The following is a 20,085-nucleotide window of genomic DNA, read 5'->3' as shown; positions in this document are numbered from 1 at the left end:
CTTCAAGGAGAACTACAAACCACTGCTCAACAAAATAAGAGAGGACACAAACAAATGGAAAAACATTCCATGCTCATGGATAGGAAGGATCAATATCGTGAAAATGGCCATACTGCCCAAAGTAATTTATAGATTCAATACTATTCCCATCAAGCTACCAAAGACTTCCTTCAGAGAATTAGAAGAAAAACTACTTTAAATTTCATATGGAACCAAAAAAGAGCTGGTATAGCCAAGACGATCTTAAGCAAAAAGAACAAAGTTGGAGGCATCACAACTTTGGTATAAATAAATGTTTAAATAAATAAATAAATAAACCATTTTTCAGAATTAATAGAGGTTCAGAAGAATTAATAAAGGAAAATTTAAGATCACCATTAGAACACCACAGTAATAACTGCTTTAGGCAATGTCCACTAATGAATGCTCTAATTTGTATTGGATGAAACTTTAAGGAGAAACAGGATTGTTTCACAACTTCTAGATTCTTTTCAGAATATTTATAAGTTACTATAGTGGTCTTAATATATATTTTCAAAAATATTTATACTCCTCTCTGAAGGAGGTGAAATTCAGTTCTCTCAAGTGTGGGCTGGATTTCATGACTCACTTTTAAATAGAATATGAAAAGGTTAAAAAATAATAACAATTTTACAGTAGAGAAACCTGGCCAGCAGCACTTTCACCAAGTGCTTATGGTTAACATCACCAGTAATAAGGCATATGATATTAGGTACCCCATACGGTGCAGTGAAAAGGGCCTACCACCTCTGTGGGATTCTTTCCAGTAATGCATAACCTCAAACTAGTCATGAGGAAATCATCACACAAACCCAAATGGCTACAAAATACTGATCATTACTCATAAAATGTCAAGATCATTGAAGACAAGGAAAGATTGAGGAAGTGTCATAGATTCGGGGGGGACTACAGAGATAGGAAGACTACATGTGATGTGGCATCTTGCATTAAATCAGGGAATAAAAAATCAGTAGAAAAACTGGCAGAAACCAAATAAAATCTCTAGCTTAATTAATATTATTGTACTAATGTTAATTTCTTAGTTTTAAGAAATACACCATGGTTATGTATGTTGTTAACAATTGGGGAAGATTTATGAAGAGTATACATCAATTCTTTATACCATGTTTGTAAATGTGTAAATCTAAAATTATTTCAAAATAAAAGACTAAGAAACCACATTTCCTTTTCTAAGTTATAAATAATAAAACATTAACAAGCAAAAAAATAACATTATCTTTGCTTATATTCTCCATCAAAGGAATTAATTATAAGTAAAACACAATCCTTAGATGAAAAAAAAATTTTTCCATTTTAATTAAGTTAGTAGCATCCCACAGTGACTAAGAATTTCGTATTGTATATACAGTAGTCCCCTCTTATCCACATGAAATGCATTCCAAAACTCACAGTGGAATGAAACCACAGATAGTCCTGAAACCTATATATACTGTTTCTTTCTATACATACATACCTATGATTAAGTTTAGCTTGTAAATTAGGCATAGTACGACATTAACAGCAATAACTAATAATGAAATAGAACCATTATAACAATATACTGTAATAAAAGTTATGTGAATATGGTCTTTTTCTTTCTCTTTCAAAATACCTTACAGAACAGTAGTATAGTACCTCAGGTAACGGAAACTGCAGAAAGCGAAAGTATGGGGAAGGGGCGACTGCTGTGTGTTCTTGCATTAGAGATTGTAGGGTATACTCTTGGAGTATATATTTATTGTTTTTGCCAATGTTTTCCCAGTTTTCCTTTACTTCGATAAAAACACAGTGAATTTCCTTAGAGAATTCCTCTCATGCTCAGTTCATTTGATTTTGCATGGGGCAGGATCAATCAGGGCTAGACAGGATTCTAGGATGAGTATATCACTTTTGGTGGTTCAACCAAGGCCAATCCTAGGACATTTTTTAAGGGCCTGAAAAACAACTTTCACTCACATCCATGTGAAGAGACCACCAAACAGGCTTTGTGTGAGCAACAAGGCTGTTTATTTCACCTGGGGGCAGGCGGGCTGAGTCTGAAAAGAGAGTCAGCGAAGGGAGATAAGGGTAGGGCCGTTTTATAGGATTTGGGTAGGTAAAGGAAAATTACAGTCAAAGGGGGGTTGTTCTCTGGCGGGCAGGAGTGGGGGTCACAAGGTGCTCAGTAGGGGAGCTTTTGAGCCAGGATGAGCCACAAGAAGGAATTTCACAAGACAATGTCATCAGTTAAGGCAAGGACCAGCCATTTTCACTTCTTTTGTGGTGGAATGTCATCAGTTAAGGCAAGGAACAGGCCATTTTCACTTCTTTTGTGATTTTTCAGTTACTTCAGGCCATCTGGGCGTATACGTGCAGGTCACAGGGGATGAGATGGCTTAGCTTGGGCTCAGAGGCCTGACAACAACTACATCTCATTCCACTGAACTATTATTATAGGATTGATAAAATCTTAATCATGGAGTTATTTGGGTCCACAGGATGGAGTCTAGAAATGAAATCAACACAGTGGAAAGCAGAGCCAAGGGATGAAATGAATGAGAAAGAAAGAAATACCTGGTCTTGATGAGATTTTTTTTTTCCTTTTATTTTTTTTTTTGAGACGGAGTCTCGCTCTGTCGCCCAGGCTGGAGTGCAGTGGCGCGATCTCGGCTCACTGCAAGCTCCGCCTCCTGGGTTCATGCCATTTTTCTGCCTCAGCCTCCCGAGTAGCTGGGACTACAGGCACCCAGCTAATTTTTTGTATTTTTTAGTAGAGACGGAGTTTCACCGTGTTAGCCAGGATGGTCTCGATCTCCTGACCTCGTGGTCTGCCCGCCTCGGCCTCCCAAAGCACTGGGATAACAGGCGTGAGCCACCTCGCCCAGCCTTGATGAGATTTTTAAAGCCAGTTTATTTGGCTATGTCTTAAGATCATCATCCTTCTGGAAAACTGACCCCAGACTTTTCAGTTTTATCAGATGACAAATTTGTTTATTCTCATTTTATAATTTTTGGGGGTACTGAAGTTAGGTTATATACAATCTACATCAGGGAATGTTCTTTCAATTATCGATGTTAACATATTGTGTAAAATAAACCTGAGGTAGTTGTGTCCATATTTAGACAAAAGATGAAGTAATAATTTATTTTGAATAGTTGATTTATTCCATATCCATTCCATTTAAAGGTGGAGTATAACAACCTCAAACAACCTCATCTTTATTTTGAGTTGCACACAACACATGAGATATTACAAGACAACCCATAACAAGGGTACCAATAAAGAACAATGCAATCAACCAATGCTGTAGAAGTGATAGGTAACTATATGTGCATTATTCAGTAACTAGAGAGAATATGCTGGACAGCATCTACAAATGAGCCCCAAATGACTTAGCTCAAAGTCAGGAGTCTTCACAGTCTCACATAGGTTATAAGTAAATAAATAAACTTCTATTTCTGAACTAAATTAAAAAGAAGCCATACAAATCGAGGATTTGTAGAAGCAAGACTTTAGGCAAACAAAACCATGCCCTTGCTCTTATACCTCCATCCATCTATTCCACAGAAACCACATGAATTAAGAAGCATGTGTATATCTCCCACTTGCTTTCTCATGATTCTATGCTTTCAGTTCCATCCAATTCCCTGGTTAATCTGAAATGCCACATTAAGTATATAACTCATAAGGTATAAAAAACTGACTTTTCCATTCTTATGTGTTATTTCATGACACACTCAAAAGAAAACAAGTGCTTTTGAGAAAAGATCTCTAAACTGAGGATATATATTACTGGACTCCTTACTTAGAAAACCATAGCAAGTAGGATAAGATTACATCCATAGCATGCAGGTGACATGATTGTAAAATCAGGGCCTATTGGATTCTTTTCCAAATGAATCAATTTATCATTCTTTAAATTTCTTACTCTCAACAAACTCCTTACCCTCCTCTCACCCTTATTTACCCAAATGGTTCATCAATTAAGTTGCATAGAACTCTACATGGAAGATTTACAAAGGCGTGATAAGAGGACTGGCAGTGCTCTTCAATTCACTCTTTGAGAAGGAAGGGCATGTGGAAATGGCACTGATTTGAATGACATTTGGAGTAATGGCCTGCCATTCTGCTGGCACTTTTAGTGTTAAGCAAGTGATCTGCAAAGTAAAGTGGATTCACAGTTAGAGTCAGCACCAGTGCACAGGTCGCCCGTAAAAATAGAAGATTCCATTATTCTTCAGGCTCCCTAGAGGGAGCAAGGTCTCTAGCATCATTACCAGGACTAAATCTGACTTTTCTACCTCCCCTAATTTCCTCCTAGTAATTATAGGTCAAGCACTCTTTTGTAAATCATAAAACCTTTGTTCTTATAAAAAATGAATAGCTGAGGAAAAAATTATAAAAAGAGTCTAAGGAAAAAAAATTTCAATTAGAAAACCAAGCTAATTTGGTATGACCAAAGACTGTCAGGCATACTGACAGTGCTCTATTATGCAGTCATTTGGGCTCTTTCAAATTAGTTATGTTAATGTCCTGTGAGTGAATGTAACACTTGGATGGGACAAGATTTCTGCAATTAATTTCTGCAGTCAGTGGAGAGACAAGCAAATTTATTTTCCCCCTCTCTGGGAATTGGTAGTGGAGGGTGTGAGGTAGCGAAAGTGCATTTAGGAACAGAGTACAAGCTAAACACAAGCCCTAAATAAAGCAGAAACAATGGGAGCCAATGCCTCCTCATTCATTCAATTGACAATGTTTTGCAGCTTAAACCTGTTTTATTAATTATGTTTGACATTTCCTTAATTAGTTTCATTTACACCAAATCAATCCCTACTGCTGTATGGCATCATTTATCATTTTGAAAAATTTGCATACTGAGTGCTGACTTTTCCTACTTAATTATACATTAAAAGTGTCAAGCGCGCTTGCTGCCTGGCATTATCTGCGGCAGAAAGGTTTGTGGCTGGACGGTGATGGTATTAATCATTAAGAGCCCCCAAGTGCTGCTGGGTAATATCTGGGGAGTAGAGTGGCTCTCATTTTAACGCTAGAGAGCAGAAGTGCTTTTGTAAAATGACCCAGAGCAAAAACAAAATAAATGACCTAAAACATCCGGTATACTATAATGCTTTGCTCTTTCAATAAAAATATGCTTTGGTGGGAAGACTTACTATTAACTATTCATTTTCTGTAAATTTAAACACTATGAGTCCACTAATAGTACATTTGTGGTCTCTGCTTGGACCTGAGAACAAGATATTTGGGTTGAATGTATAATGGTGGCTTGGTAGTATACTTCCAATATATGCCAACTCAAATGTGTTACTTTACAAATGAAAGCTGCAAAATATAGTATACCATTAATACAGTGATTGATGTTGCTCATTTCTTTTCTACTTATAAACTTTCAATGAATAAGCAACTACTTTCCATAGAACACAACTGAACAGAGAATATGGTTTACAATCTAATATTATAACAGAACTTCACTTGCATACCATAATCGTTTTCATTGTTATAAATTTTCAGTGAAAAATATGACTCTTCAATTTTGAAGCACAAAGCATGATTGTGAGCAACAGTAATGAAAGAGTTAACAAGAACCTGTTTGTAAATTGTATACCAGCTATGCCTTCCTTCGTGTCAGAACCCAAACTTAGTGCATTTAATATTCAAATTCATTTTCAAATGCTTGCCCATTAACATAATATATGCCACTTTGCAAGCCTGGTCAGAGAAATCTGTAACTAAATAATTTTCAAGTTTCCTTCATATCAGATGCATTATATGCAGTGTGAAATTATTTCCCCACTCTATCCCTTTGCTTAACAGCAGAAAAGCAACACACAATATAGTGGATATTACTGCAAGTACATTACATTCTTTAGAAGCTACTATATATGCAGGAAAGTTTATAATTCCTAATTTCAAGTAAGCAATTAATTGCATAGTTTGTGTATAACTGTAAAGTTAATATGCAATTGCAATGCAGCACTATTTAGAACTTAGATAAAAGGAATGTATATGGCGCAAATATATTTATGCAAATATAATAAATAACTCATTTGTGTTTTCAGTTAAATGTCCTGTGTTTCTAATAATTCCATCATTAAGTGTACTTTTTTCATATAAAAATTCAGTAGTGAAAATATACATCTAATTTAAATGTGTAATGTTGGGAAACACCAAAATGATCCATGTATCTGGAGACAATTCAGTTCAATTTTAAAATAAGATTGAAACCAATAGTATAGTTTTTATATACCTGTGTCTCCTAAATTTTATATCTTTAAATCCATATATATATTTTCTTACCATTTTAAGCCATAATCCTTCATTCTAGGTACAGATTTTAAAAGGGCAAATAGCTTTCCTTATCAGGAAAGAATAATAAAATATCATAAATAATAATGATGATGATAATAAGAGATAATGTTTTAACACTTATTATGTTCCAGTCACTATGCTAAATGTTTTCTATTTATTATCCTAATCCTCACAATAATCTGATGAGACAGATATATAATTACCCAATAATCTGATGAGACATATATAATTACCCCACTAAGGCTTCCGGCTTTAAGTAACCAGTCTAAGGTCACAGGTCTATTAAATGGCAAAATTCAGGGTCACAAGATTGCCTCTCTAAAGTCCATGTTTCCAGATTTTGCTAAACTACATCTGTTCACAATCTTCCATGAACCTCTCAATGCATGTGTGCTATGGTAAAAAGGATACCAGCTTTTTTGAAACTGACTGATGTGTTAAATCTATCACTTACAATTACATGATTTTGGCAATTTACTTAAATTTCCTGGGTTCTTTTTCATTTATAAATTGGACACAGAGTACCAACTTCACATCAGTATTAGTCACATCATAGTCGGTAAGTGACAAAGGTGATTTGTCCTTTCTCTATCAGATGTAAAACACCTGTTTAAATTTGACCCTTCAATAAAACTTAAGCTCTACTTTGTTGGTTTTGCTCACTGTGGTCTCCCAAGGGCTTAGAACAAGGTGGCCACATCCTAGAAATTCACAATTGTCCATGATTGAGTCTATGCACAGTAAATGTTTTATTCTCTGCAAGTGAACCCGTCTGTCATTATCAAATAATCTTCCTCACCCTGGTTCTCACAATACACCCAGAATCTAGTTGGCTTGAGAAAAAAATTACCTTCCTCTTGTCCATTTCTCCTCCACTGCATTCTTACTCTATGTCTAGGGCCAGGGTACTTCTAATGCTCCCTCACCTGTGAACCTGCTTAGTGGAAACTGGGTTAAGGGCAGAAGTTAATTTATGTTCCTAATCTAATCAGAGCTAACTCAGAGTTAAACCCAAACAGAAAATAAAGACTGCAATTCTTTACAAACAGCACATTCTGTATTATGTAGCGGTGCAATAGTTTTAATATGAGTTGATAACCTGATCCAAAGACAAAAAAAAATTTACCCAGGGTAATTAATATCTGATTACAATATTTTGGAAGGTATTTGAAATTGCAAATGTTAAGATTGTAGAAGTAGATTCTTCCTGGCACTGGATTTTATTTCATGTATTTAAAAGAGAAAGTCTTCAATGTGTGAATTGAAATTCAAATAATCACACATTGAAATAAAAGTATGCATGCATGAGTCACATAAATATAAAGTGAGTTTATATACACATCCCACAAAGCTTTACTTGCTTCCCTATATGGAATAGCTCCAGATACATGTGGCCTTTCAAGAACACATGCGTGCACACACACACACACACACAAAACACACACGCAACACAAACACAGTGGGTGTGCACATATATATGCATATTATATATACACACATACGTTTTATATATATATATATACATATATTCTACAGTTCAGAGACTCTCTCGTTAAAAAATTAGCAAAACTCATTTACTTGGCTCTTACAGGATTCATTAACCTTTGTCTTCTTTCAAGAAACCAGGAACTATTCTAAAACTGACATTGTCATTAAAAACCAATAGGAAATCACCATTTTTAAATTAAAGTCATTAGCTAAGTTTTTCAAGAGTTAAAAAAAGATTGGAAAAAAATTCAAATGAGAAAAATAATTTTGCTTTGGGTGTAAAAAGACCCCAAGAGGAATTTCTCAAGTTTTGTTAGAAAGTACTCTTTTGCGATCAGAATATCACTATGAAAATTCAACCTAGAGTGTTTTTAAGGGTTTAACTCTTTCATGCTTTAAAATGAAACAACTCTTTAATAATAAGTATATGATTACCATGTTATACAATAAAAGAAAAATAAATATTGCAAAATAGGGCTAAAAATATTTTACAGAGACAGACTTCTAAGAACCACATAAATATTTCATAATTTGTTAATAGTTCATTAACTTTTAATTATAGATTGGTATAATAATTACACTCCCACTATCAAAGAAACACTAATATCCTTCTTACTTATTTTTTGATAATATAATTCCTTAAATTGTGATGTAAACAAACTATATAATTCTTCATATGTGAACTATCTTTTTCTATTGTCCAAATGATGTCACATTTATTCTAGCACTTTTGCCTAGACCTATCTATGCTATGGGTTCCTACTCAGAGAAATGGCTTCTGTTTAGATGATGACCACCTAAACCTAGAAGTATAAGTGGTAATTGTGGAAATTTTAAAGAGTGTGAAGTTAACCCCAGCCATAGCTTTATAACTGCCATTCTATAACACACTAAACTTGGTAATATTGAACATGACTTTGGAATATAATTTCTACTATTTCTCTTTCATATTGAGTTAGCCAGAGAATCACATAAACTGTAGCATAATAATAATTCCACTGTCAATTTTCTGTATTTGTCTCACTTACTCCTGTCCTATTTCATATTGTTATCCCTTAATGTCACTAAAATAGCCTTCAAAGAAAACATCCTGCCTCTAGGCAGTTTCTCTATATTTCTATGTATATATACACACTACTGGATTTCTTTTTTTAATACCATGATCATCCTGCAACTTCCCATCTCAGAAACACTCCCAACTTTCTTTTTTTCTTTTTTTCTTTTTCTTTTTTTTTTTAGATGGACTCTTACTCTGTCACGCAGGCTAGAGTGCCGTGGCGCGATCTCAGCTCACTGCAAGCTCCGCCTCCCGGGTTCATGCCATTCTCCTGCCTCAGCCTCCCAAATAGCTGGGACTACAGGGGCCCACCACCACACCCGGCTAATTTTTTGTATTTTTAGTAGAGACGGGGTTTCACCATGTTAGCCAGGATAGTCTAGATCTCCTGACCTCGTGCTCCGCCCACCTCGGCCTCCCAAAGTGCTGAGATTACAGGCATGAGCCACTGCACCCGGCCAACACCCCCAACTTTCCATGTGAATTACCAATTGTTTCATTCTCCAGTCAGCTAAAAACACTGTCTCTTAAATATTTTTTCTAGGTTTCCCACATCACTGAGGCTTTTAATATACATTTGCTCTAGTTCTGAATACTCTGCCATTTGCTACCTGCATATCCAGTTTTACTAATTGTGAAATCCTCAATTGAAAATGATATCTTCTTTCTCTGGTTTCCTATAGTATTGCAAGCACCATATATTAGTGTTTATAATTTACCCTATAGCATTGTTTGTTACAGTTTACTGTTTGCATATGCTCTTCCCCATACTACATCACGAGTTTCTTGGGAGATGATACTAAGATTTCTTTTTCTTCATATATCAGAAATACCATGGACATTGCAACTGATATGTATTTATCTGTATCCTCATCTACTCTATGAGTTCCTTAAGGAATAATACAATGCTTAAAATAATTTCTGGCTCACAGTCAACATACATGAGATTCTGTTTGAAAATTAAATAAAACAAAATTTCCCTTTTGAGCTGCTATTTTTTGCAAGACCAGATAAAACTATTATAGAGAGAAAAATAAAGCAAAGTATTATTATAAAATGTTTTGTCCTTCAAAAAACTTGCCATTTCAATAAATCTTTAAGAAATTTTATTTGGAAGTCAAACAGCTACATTACAAGTTACTTTTATTATGTAATTACTGTTATGTAATTTTAACATTTTAAAAGTGGAGTACACTTGTATTCAACTCTTTCAATTAATATTTTACAAGAAAAACATAAAATGACTTTTTTCAGCAGGTGACTTGGAATGTTTATGAATGTTTACTGTCTTAAGAAAAGGAGACAAAATCAGACATTTCTGAATACAACATTTTCAAAAGACACAATAGAAATCAAGAATACAATAACACAATCAGGAAGCTTTTGAAACAATTGTGTGTCAAATTGTGTACTCAAACATTACGTGTTATAATTGTAGGTTATTTAATATGGCTCAGTCTATTTCTAAATTCCCGAGTCTTCAAAAGCCAGGTGTAAGTAGTAAGCAATGAAGTATGTCTCAAGAGGTAAGACTAACCTGAGACTGGCTGCTTTAATGTCAAGAGTTTTGGCAAATAATGCTTTATTAGAAAAGTAAGTAGCAGTCCAACATGAACAACAACAAAAGTAATGAGAAAATAACGAAAAAAAATTTTGGTAGAGTGCCTTTATTTTCCCTGAATAGCTTGCTAAAAATCTAATATTTTTTTTAAAAAATGAAAGGATAAAATAGCCCTTGTTATTCATGAAGGTTATCCTAATTTTCCTGTATGAAAAAAGAGAAGAAGATTTGGCAGATTAAAAAAGAAAAGAAAGGCAAAATAATTACACAATTAAAAAGTTATCAAATTTTTTGCTTTTGTTTCCTTTTAAATTAAGTGTAATTAAAAAGTTTTATTAAATGTAATTAAAAAGTTATCAGCATGATTAACATTAAGTCAAAAGCTACAGATTAAAAATATTTTAAGATAAAACATCAAGTCTAACTTTTAAATTGAGAATGCCAGCTTTTTCTTTAAGTGTGCATGACTTAAATTTATTTTAATTTTCCAAACTATTCCATCCTCTTAGGACTTTTCTGACTAAGACGAGATTTAAAAATTATTCAATTCAATTGAGAGAGAAGGAAGGAAGAAACCAGCCAGGCAGGCAGTTAGGGGAGTCCTTAGCAAAACTCCTTCAAACCAAAAACAGCCTGAAAATCAAACTGCAGGCCCCAGATAAGGAAAAGCCCTTGTCCTTGAATGGAAACACCTACTCTGTGAACCCAGATGAACAAATTCCACTCCTTTTTGGACACAGTTCTATCTCCTTGGTGTGCCTTAGTATTTTACTTTTCACGTATTTTACGTATGTCTACCTTTTTGTGATTGGCCACAGTCCGAGTTTTCATTTACACAGGGTCAATCATCGCTTCAGCCCCTGATTGGTCCTGGGCCAAGGTCCCAGGTTAAGCCTTCACCTCTGCCTCCAATTGGTTCTTTGCACTATCATACCTCTTTCTGAGTAGTGCTTTCTCCATGACAGCCTGAAGACCAATCAGCACACTCCTCCCTCTTCCCAGTCCATGAAAACCTTGGACTCAGCCTCATAGCTAGCAAACCTCTTTAGGGTCCCCTGTCTTTGCTGAGAGCTTTTCTGTCACTTAATAAATCTGACTCTGCCTTACTCTCTGGTGTCCATGCACATTTTTCTTCTTGGTTGTGGGACAAGAACCTGGAGCTTACCACTGGTGGGAGTGAAAGAGCTGTAACACTCCCTCCCAGTCACCAAACAACACGATTGAGAAAGCTGCAACACAATTGGACTAGGCAAAAAGACAAGGTGTTGATTTACTATTAAAAGTTCCCTGGTAGATAAGAACTCTGGAACTCAGTGTCTTCAAGATATTCATCACTTATTATGTGGTGGCAAATATGGGCAACAGTGGCTTTATTGAACTTACTAGTACTCTAAGTAGCTTAGGCAAAAGTTCTAGAGTTCTGACTGTTATAGTTTGTGTCACATACCCATGTTATAGTTTGTGTCACATACCCAGTCCTGACTTAATCAAAGTGGTGCCCAGGGTAACATAATGTATCCACTAGACAGGTCTGAGAATTTCACCAGTCTGCGGGCAGGGGCTGGGGTCAGCCCCACCTCAACCATATGAAATCAATTTGATCCACCAAAAGAAACATTGACACCAACAAGATGAACATAAGAGAGAAATAATTTTTAAAAACACATGGAAATTGATATATATGTATATACATATATACAAATTGGGAAGCTTGAATTCCCAATGTAAAAGTTAGCCTTGATGTTTTATATCCTATTTGTTTTATCTGCACCTTTTATCTGAATATGACTCATGCTTTTATATATATATATACATATATATACAGACACACACACACACGGTATATATACACACATTATACCAAACTGTATATATTTATCAAATATATATATTACAGATAGATAGATTTTTATATATTTCATTTGTTTGGTGATTATGCACATACATAATTGTTTAATAAAAATAAACATTACATTTCATAAAATACCTGACTGTACCCACTTTCCTAAATATATTAAACATGTTAATAGTATTTTTGTTTCCATATTACATTTGGCTATGTATTAATATCATAAGCTTACTAAGTTCTGAATATAATTTGGGCGTATTGACCAAAAAAAGTATAGTCTGTTATTTGACATGGTTAAGAAATGAGGATCTTGCCGGTCACAGTGGCTCACGCCTACAATCCCAGCACTTTGGGTGGCCGAAGCGGGTGGATCACCTGAGGTCAGGAGTTCGAGACCAGCCTGACCAACATGGAGAAACCCCATCTCTACCAAAAATATAAAATTATCCGGGCGTGGTGATGCATGCCTGTAATCCCAGCTACTTCAGGAGGCTGAGGCAGGAGAATCGCTTGAACCTGGGAGGCGGAGGTTGCAATGAGACGAGATCACACCATTGCACTCCAGCCTGGGCAACAAGAGCGAAACTCCATCTCAAAAAAAAAAAAAAAAAGAAAAGAAAAGAAAAGAAATGAGGATCTCTAAAATAACATTATCATTAATTTCTTTATGTTTGGGCGGTGAAGTCCTCACCTTGAATCATTGCCCTCTGTTGGCCACTTCCAAGATCCAAGCATGCATAGATATATATTTAGAGACTGGGAAAGTTATATTTGCAAGTATGCACAGGAGAATCCTGGGACATAATTTAAAGTGTGCCCATTCTGGGGTTCTGCTATATGTCTGGCATGTTCTGCTATATGTCTGCTACATGTCTGGCAAACTGGGGATGGGTGGAGAAAAGTTTTAGTGAACCAGACATGATAAATTTAAGTCAACATCATATCACCAGTCATGCCAGATAAGAAGGCATTCAGTACAAGATGGTCACTCATAATTGATCCATTGCCAGTAGAGTTCCTGGATGCATGACCAACAAAAGAAGACTAAAATAAAAATTGGAAACCTGTAACACTTTGGGAACACCGGATCACTCCCTCAGGCTCCTTAACAGTGCCATCAGAAAAATACAAAGAAGGCCCTCCCAATTCCACCATAGGCCACTTCTGAGTTTGGGTCCAAGGCAGTCAACAGTGGAAAGGACTGCTGTGAGTGCCTCAGTAAAGCAGAGGAAGCATAGACTTGTGCTGTGCAGTGTAATGTGGGGTAGCAGCAGGGTTTGTAAGGGATGCAAAGAACAGGAAGGCGCTGCTGTTGCCTCATGGAGCTGTGGTTCAGCAATACAGCACATCAGAGCTGGGTAAGTATGTGGAGACCTGAGAAATTCATCCATTTCTGAGTAAATATGAGCTTCACTTGGGGACATACAGAGATATTTAAGGAGCATTTGCACTTCTGCCACTTACTAGCAGTATGACTTTGAGCAAGTTAGGAATCTCCTCTATGTCTCAGTTTCCTCATCTATAAAATAGAGATAATATCAGCCAGGCGCAGTGGCTCACGCTGTAATCCCAGCACTTTGGGAGGCTGAGGCAGGCCAGTCACTTGGGGTCAGGAGTTCAAGACCAGCCTGACCAACATGGTGAAATCCCATCTCTACTAAAAATACAAAAATTAGCTGGGTGTGGTGGCATGCACCTGTAGTCCCAGCTACTCAGGAGGCTGAGGCATGAGAATCACTTGAACCTGGGAGGTGGAGGCTGCAGTGAGCCAGCCAGTGCACTGATTGTGCCAGTGCACTCTATCCTGGGTGACAGAGCAAGACTCCATCTCAAAAAAAAAAAAAAAAAAAAAAGAAAACCAATGATAATATTATTGTTGTTGTTGATTTGAGGATTGTTTTAATATACTTGCCAAAAACTCACAACTATTATCTATTTTTATTGCTACAGCTATTGTTTACATTATTTCTCCAGTAATTTGAGAAATAATTTTGGGTCTTCAGTACCTTTGAAGACAAAGCAATAGAGTGGAAGGAGCATGAACTTGGGAGTTTACAACTCTATTACTGTCTATGTGAATTGGGAAAACTTGCATATAACACTTTAAGCTCAGTTTTCTTATCTATAAAATAATCATAATACACCTTTTCCCCCAGAATTATTAAGGAAAGCCATGATAAAATAACAAAACTATTAAGTAATACTAATCAAAATTTTGTAAGTACTTATTGTGTACCAAATATTGGTCCAAGGGGTTTAATTCATGAATTCACATAATCTTTCCTCATAGGAACATTATGAAGTAGGTACTGTTATTGTCTCTGTTTTATAGAAAAGGTAACTGAGGTGCAAATCACCTTCCCAAGGCCTCACAACTAGTAAGGGACTAAAGCAGGATTTGAATAGAGCTTCTGGTTAAAAAGTAAACAGCCTTAAATGCCATACAATACTACCTCTCAATGGTTGGAAAACTGTAGGTGTTCAGTAAACAGCAGCTGTCATTATTATTTGGGTCTTAGCATATCCTGATTATTCTACAGATGTTCAGAAATACTTGTCAATAAATAAAAGGTATTGAATTAGAATAAAGTATTGTGCTTTATAAGCCAATGTATTTCATATGTACTCGAAATATTCCATTCATGGTTGACATTTTAAAAATATTTGATAATGCATCAAAACAGAATTTCAACAGTACTACTCAGGATCAGATTTGTTTTCATGTGTAGTCAGTCTTTGTCCATTCAGGCTACTATAACAAAATACCATATACTGAGTAACTTATACACAACAGAAATTTATTTCTTATAGTTTTAGAGGCTGGGAAGCGTAAGATCAACGCGCCAGCAGATACAGTGTCTAGTGAGGGCCCATTTCCTCGTCCATAGGTGGTGCCTTCTCCTTGCGACCTCTCATGGTGAAGGGGCAAATGAGTTCCTTTGGTCCTGTTATAAAAGAGCACTAAAGCTATTCATCAGGTCAGAGCCTGTCAAAAAGCCTGGCCTCTTAATACTATCACCTTGGGGGTTAGGGTTTCAACATATGAATTTTGGGAGAACATCAGGAGAGATCAGATAAACATAATAAAAATAGTTTTTTCTAGGTATCTGTATACACTCTGTTGACTCAATCATGTTTTAATAATGAAAAAGTAACATCTCTATTGTATATTTATTTCTTTCTAAAATCATCTTGAATTTATGTAATCTCATAGAAATTGTGGCTATTTCAAAATAATCAGTAGATAAAATTTATTTTGGATGTTTCACCAACAGATATTCTGATTATTAATTTATGACCATATATTGAGTTATTTTTCTTTTAGAAGTTATAAAGAAATATTAATTGTGCCTAAGTCATCTAAAGATGCTCTAGCTATCAAAATAGAGCATTACATAGACACACATTTTCATGCTAAATTAAGATTAATTGTAATAATGACCTAACTCTTGACCTTTATTTTAAGAATTATAAATTGCATGGGGCATATTTTAGTTGTTCAGTTAACTCTTTAGAAAATAATGCATGAACCAACTAATGAGTATTATTAGACAATTATTTTTTCACAAATAAGTTGTATACTAAAATATTAAATTTAGAGTTTTTGATGTGAAAGTATGTTTAAATATAGGTATTAGGTAAAAAGTTAGTTGAAAAAAATTAGCCCCAAAATGAAAAATATTGATGGAAACATAATTCAGTATATTTAATTTTATATTATTCATATCCTTAGAGGTTAGAATCTACATAGGTAAAGTTAATCATATGCTGGTCTAAAATAGTCCCTAAAATAATTTTAATTATCTTTAACTTTTTCCCTGCTAATATTTACTCTAATTCAATTTGAATTCTCCTCTCTCTCTTCCTCTCTTACTCAGGAACACATAGAAATTCTTTATAATTTTTGTCCTAAAGAGAATTACTTCTTATTAACTCTTTAAGCATAAAAAAATTAAATTTTGTACTTATAATATAGCTTTTTTTTTTTTTTTTTGGCTAACTGCTTTGTTGGCACTAAAGTTAAATAGCCTAATGCCAAATTCTCCATTTTAAAGCAGCTTGTGCAGATTGCCATTTTTCCTACTTGAATTTAGTTTTTATACTAAAAGGAAAGGGCTATTAAAAATCAAAATTGATTACTATTAGATGCTCCGAATACAATTTTGAACTTGAGAGCACCCCTCTCTCCTATCAGCACCACCCTGAGGTGATCCACACACTGACCGTGGAATACATTTACCAGGCCCCCATACACAGGCTTGGCATTCTGTCCTAATCATTCTTTTCATAGCACAATTTGTGGGTCTCTGTGAAATGCAGCTATTGGTAGTTCTGCCTGAACTCAAATGAAGTGATATTGAATTTCTATTATGCATGTGCCTTGGAAACCTCACAGCTCTCCATAAAGATTTTATTCACACAGCAGATTTGTTGTGACTTAGATAGTTTCAGACAATTTTAGATTTGAATGGACATGGCAGAATCTGACAGTATAAAAAAAAAATTAGGAGAAAGAAACATGTAGAACCAAATGATATATTAAGCAACCTCCAGAACAAAGCAAAGAGAATACTTGTGATTGTAGTAAACAAAACCAGAAAGTATGTCTTTGAAGGGCTTCTCATGGGGGCTAATCTTTGTATATTGCATATATGAGCTGGTGATGGAACTTGCCAACTCCTTTCATCCTACAAATTAAGTTTTGATAAAGCCCTCTTCCTTATATAACCTTCATGTGTTTGAAATAAATTGTTCATAATAAGACACATTCTAGTTTTCATATATTTTCCCAATAATCTAGGACACAAATACAAAACAGAATATAAATGCAATTGCGAACAAACATTCATTCCTCAACTAGAATTTAAAGGATTTAATTGGAAAAGGACGAAGAGTAATTTTTGTTGTAAATATAATATATGGAAAGTAAATAACAGTAAAATTAATTCATGGCAAAAGGAGGAAGAGAGGAGTTAATATATTTAGGTAAAAAAATGAATGTAATATGAAGTTTTCTTCATTAGAGAGTGCACCATGCATCAGTCATAATTTAGGCTCTGCAGAAATAACACTGAACAATGTAGACAATATTCATTATTGCATGGAGCTTATTTCCTAATGGGAGAAAACAGTTAATAAATAAGTAAATAAATTAAAGAAATAATAATTCTAGGTAGTAATAAACACTATGACAAATATAAAATAGAGTCATGGGACAGAATCTATCTGTGATAGTGGCAGGGTGTGAGGGGGGCCTACTTTATTTTTGGTGGTCAGAGAGGGTTTCAAAAAGAGATGATGTGTATTAAGCCATGAACAAGAAGGCAGTCATAAGTAGGTCTATGAGCAGAGCAAGCCAGATCCACATACTAACTCGTGCAAAGTCCCTTTTTAGGCTGATTTTTCCATCAGATGGAATTTTTTCAGACCACACAGTTACATTACTTTAAAAATATTTCACCTTTGGAAAAGAAGTTGGGCAGAGGGTGAGAACGAGGAGAGAAATACAAAGGAAAATACCTAGTAGCTATTTTAGGTGTGTCAAAACATGTTTCCCTTGATAGATATTAAGAACTATATATACCTAAGGAAAAAATCAAGATAAATAGTACATTTAGTTATTCACTTTTGGAAGCTTTAGTTCTGACCCCAAATCACTCAGCCATTTTTTTAACCATGATCATTCTCTATTTTCCCAAGTAATGTTTATGTGTTTGATTTCTATGAGTATTCATTTTATGTGAATTATTTAATATAACCCACCCTGGCAACACTTACTAACTCTGCAAAAATTATCCAAGAACTGTACTCTCAACATTCTCCTTCATTCCCTCTGCTTCTCTCTAGATTAGCTTCCCAAAGTTATGATACTCTGCCTCCTTCATGTCACAGAGGAGGACTATATGATGTATTACTTCATACTGAGATGTTAGCAGTTTATTTATCATATTTGAAAAGAAAGTGAGAGAAAAGGTAATTGTCAATACAAAGTAACGTATGTCTACATAAGGTATTTCAAACATCTAGCAACCCTGACAGAAAAGATATTTCTAAGTAAAATTATCATGCTGCTGCCCTTCAAATCACACCATTATTCAGCCTGCATGTAAGCATGACTTTGGGTAGAGATCGAGATGAGCTCTGATCCAGAAGCTTTCAGATAAGCATCATCAGTCTAGAGGACCTCTCAATTGGCCAAGTTTTTAGATATGAATTTTAATTACCAATATTGGAGGTGGAACCTGGTAGGAGGTGATTGGAAGATGGGGGTGGATTACTCATGAATGGCTTAGTACCATCCTCATGGTACTTTCCTTGTGATAGTAAGCTCTGGTAAGATCTGGTGGTTTAAAAGTGTGTGGCACCTCCCCCTCTTCCCACTTCTGCCATGTGATGTGCTTTTGCCTTCCGCCATGATTGGAAGCTTCCTGTGGCCTCCTCAGAAGCAGATGTCCTGTACAGCCTGCAGAGCTATAAGCAAATTAAACCTCTTTTCTTATAAATTACCCAGTCTCAAGTATTTTTTATAGCAATGTGAGAATGGCCTAATACATGAATTACATGGATCTATGATGTAGATTTGAAGTTGCCTTTACAATCAAGAAATGTTTATAACCTCAACATTTTAACCTCTTTGAGGGCAAGGACAATACCCATCCCAATCATGTCATATATTCCCCAATAAAACAGCATTTGGAATTGTTAAAGAAAGAGTCCACTGGACAAGTTAAATAGGTAAAGAAAAATTTAATCAAGACTATCACAATAGGGAAGAGAGACTGAACTCACCTCTGCTGAGACCCTGAAACCAAAGATGGGAGAGACTTTAAGCAGCAAAGTGAGCTAATGGAAAAATATTGGCAGATGTTAGGGAGGAGACTGACCAGTGTGATTAAGCCATCCGTATTTGCTAATTGGCATTTATTTAAGTAAGGCTCCTCCAGTCCCACAGAGACTGAGAGACAGAGTGCTCTTTCCTGATAATTACATTTCAAAGGGATGGCTTCCAGGTCCTTGAGAAAGACATTCCTCAGTTGTAAAACTGGCAAGAAGTTAGGAGAAGATTTATATATCAAAGAGAAAAAATTTACAATTGCAAATTCCCTAAAGTACATGCTCCAGGAAAAAGATGTTTAGGAATCTATAGTCAGGAGGAAACCTGTCTAAAGTTGAGTGAAACGGAGAGGAACCTTAAGGCCATCTCGGTCAAAATGTAGTACTTTCTCAATAAATATTTGCTGAATAAATGAATGAATATACCTTCCAAATATTTTAGGACTCTAGCCAGACTTTGAAAACTTCTAATCACAACATATCTAAGTCATTATTTTAACATGCCCTTAGCTTATGAATTCTGTAAAATCTAAATCTTTCACACCATTTTGTTCTGTTTATTATAATGCTCAGCATATAATATATATAGATGGTAATGAATAGCTTAAATACATATGTGTTGTCTTTTGGGCTTGAATTTTTGTATTTAGGCCTCATTTTTTCCCTTATCTTACTGTGTTAATTTTCTTTTCTTTTTTTTTTTTGGCATGGCAGCCAATTATGAGATGTTTTAGGACTAAGATAATTTCAATTCTCATTTGAAATGGATTATTTTCAACAAAAGTTAATGGAGAGGAAGAAACTTACTTTGTTAAAGTGACCACTCAATCTAAGTATTTTATTTGCCCTTCTCCACTGAGGACTATGCCCGGTTACTTAATGAAATCTCAAATTACCAAATAGAGTACACTCTCCAGGGTCCAGAAAGTCAATAAAATGTAATAATTTGCATTTCCTCTTCAAAAATT

At 35.2% G+C, this 20,085-nt stretch overlaps 3 annotated features.

Moving 5' to 3' along the window:
• Positions 1,520–2,427: an enhancer, noted in NCBI's record as "OCT4-NANOG-H3K27ac hESC enhancer chr5:91040312-91041219 (GRCh37/hg19 assembly coordinates)". NCBI's record gives its function as "activates a minimal SCP1, AML or CMV promoter by ChIP-STARR-seq in naive and primed H9 embryonic stem cells {active_cell/tissue: H9 hESC(naive and primed)}" and the evidence as "EXISTENCE:reporter gene assay evidence [ECO:0000049][PMID:30033119]".
• Positions 3,840–5,851: an enhancer, noted in NCBI's record as "VISTA enhancer hs191". NCBI's record gives its function as "enhancer in: hindbrain (rhombencephalon)[6/9]" and the evidence as "EXISTENCE:transgenic organism evidence [ECO:0001131][PMID:17130149]".
• Positions 18,977–19,548: an enhancer, noted in NCBI's record as "OCT4-NANOG hESC enhancer chr5:91023191-91023762 (GRCh37/hg19 assembly coordinates)". NCBI's record gives its function as "activates a minimal SCP1, AML or CMV promoter by ChIP-STARR-seq in primed H9 embryonic stem cells {active_cell/tissue: H9 hESC(primed)}" and the evidence as "EXISTENCE:reporter gene assay evidence [ECO:0000049][PMID:30033119]".

The sequence above is a fragment of the Homo sapiens genome, chromosome 5, assembly GCF_000001405.40.
Source record: "Homo sapiens chromosome 5, GRCh38.p14 Primary Assembly".
In the NCBI taxonomy this organism is placed as follows: domain Eukaryota; kingdom Metazoa; phylum Chordata; class Mammalia; order Primates; family Hominidae; genus Homo; species Homo sapiens.
Note: the sequence above shows the minus strand (reverse complement) of the source record. Positions and strands in the feature narration are given on the sequence as shown.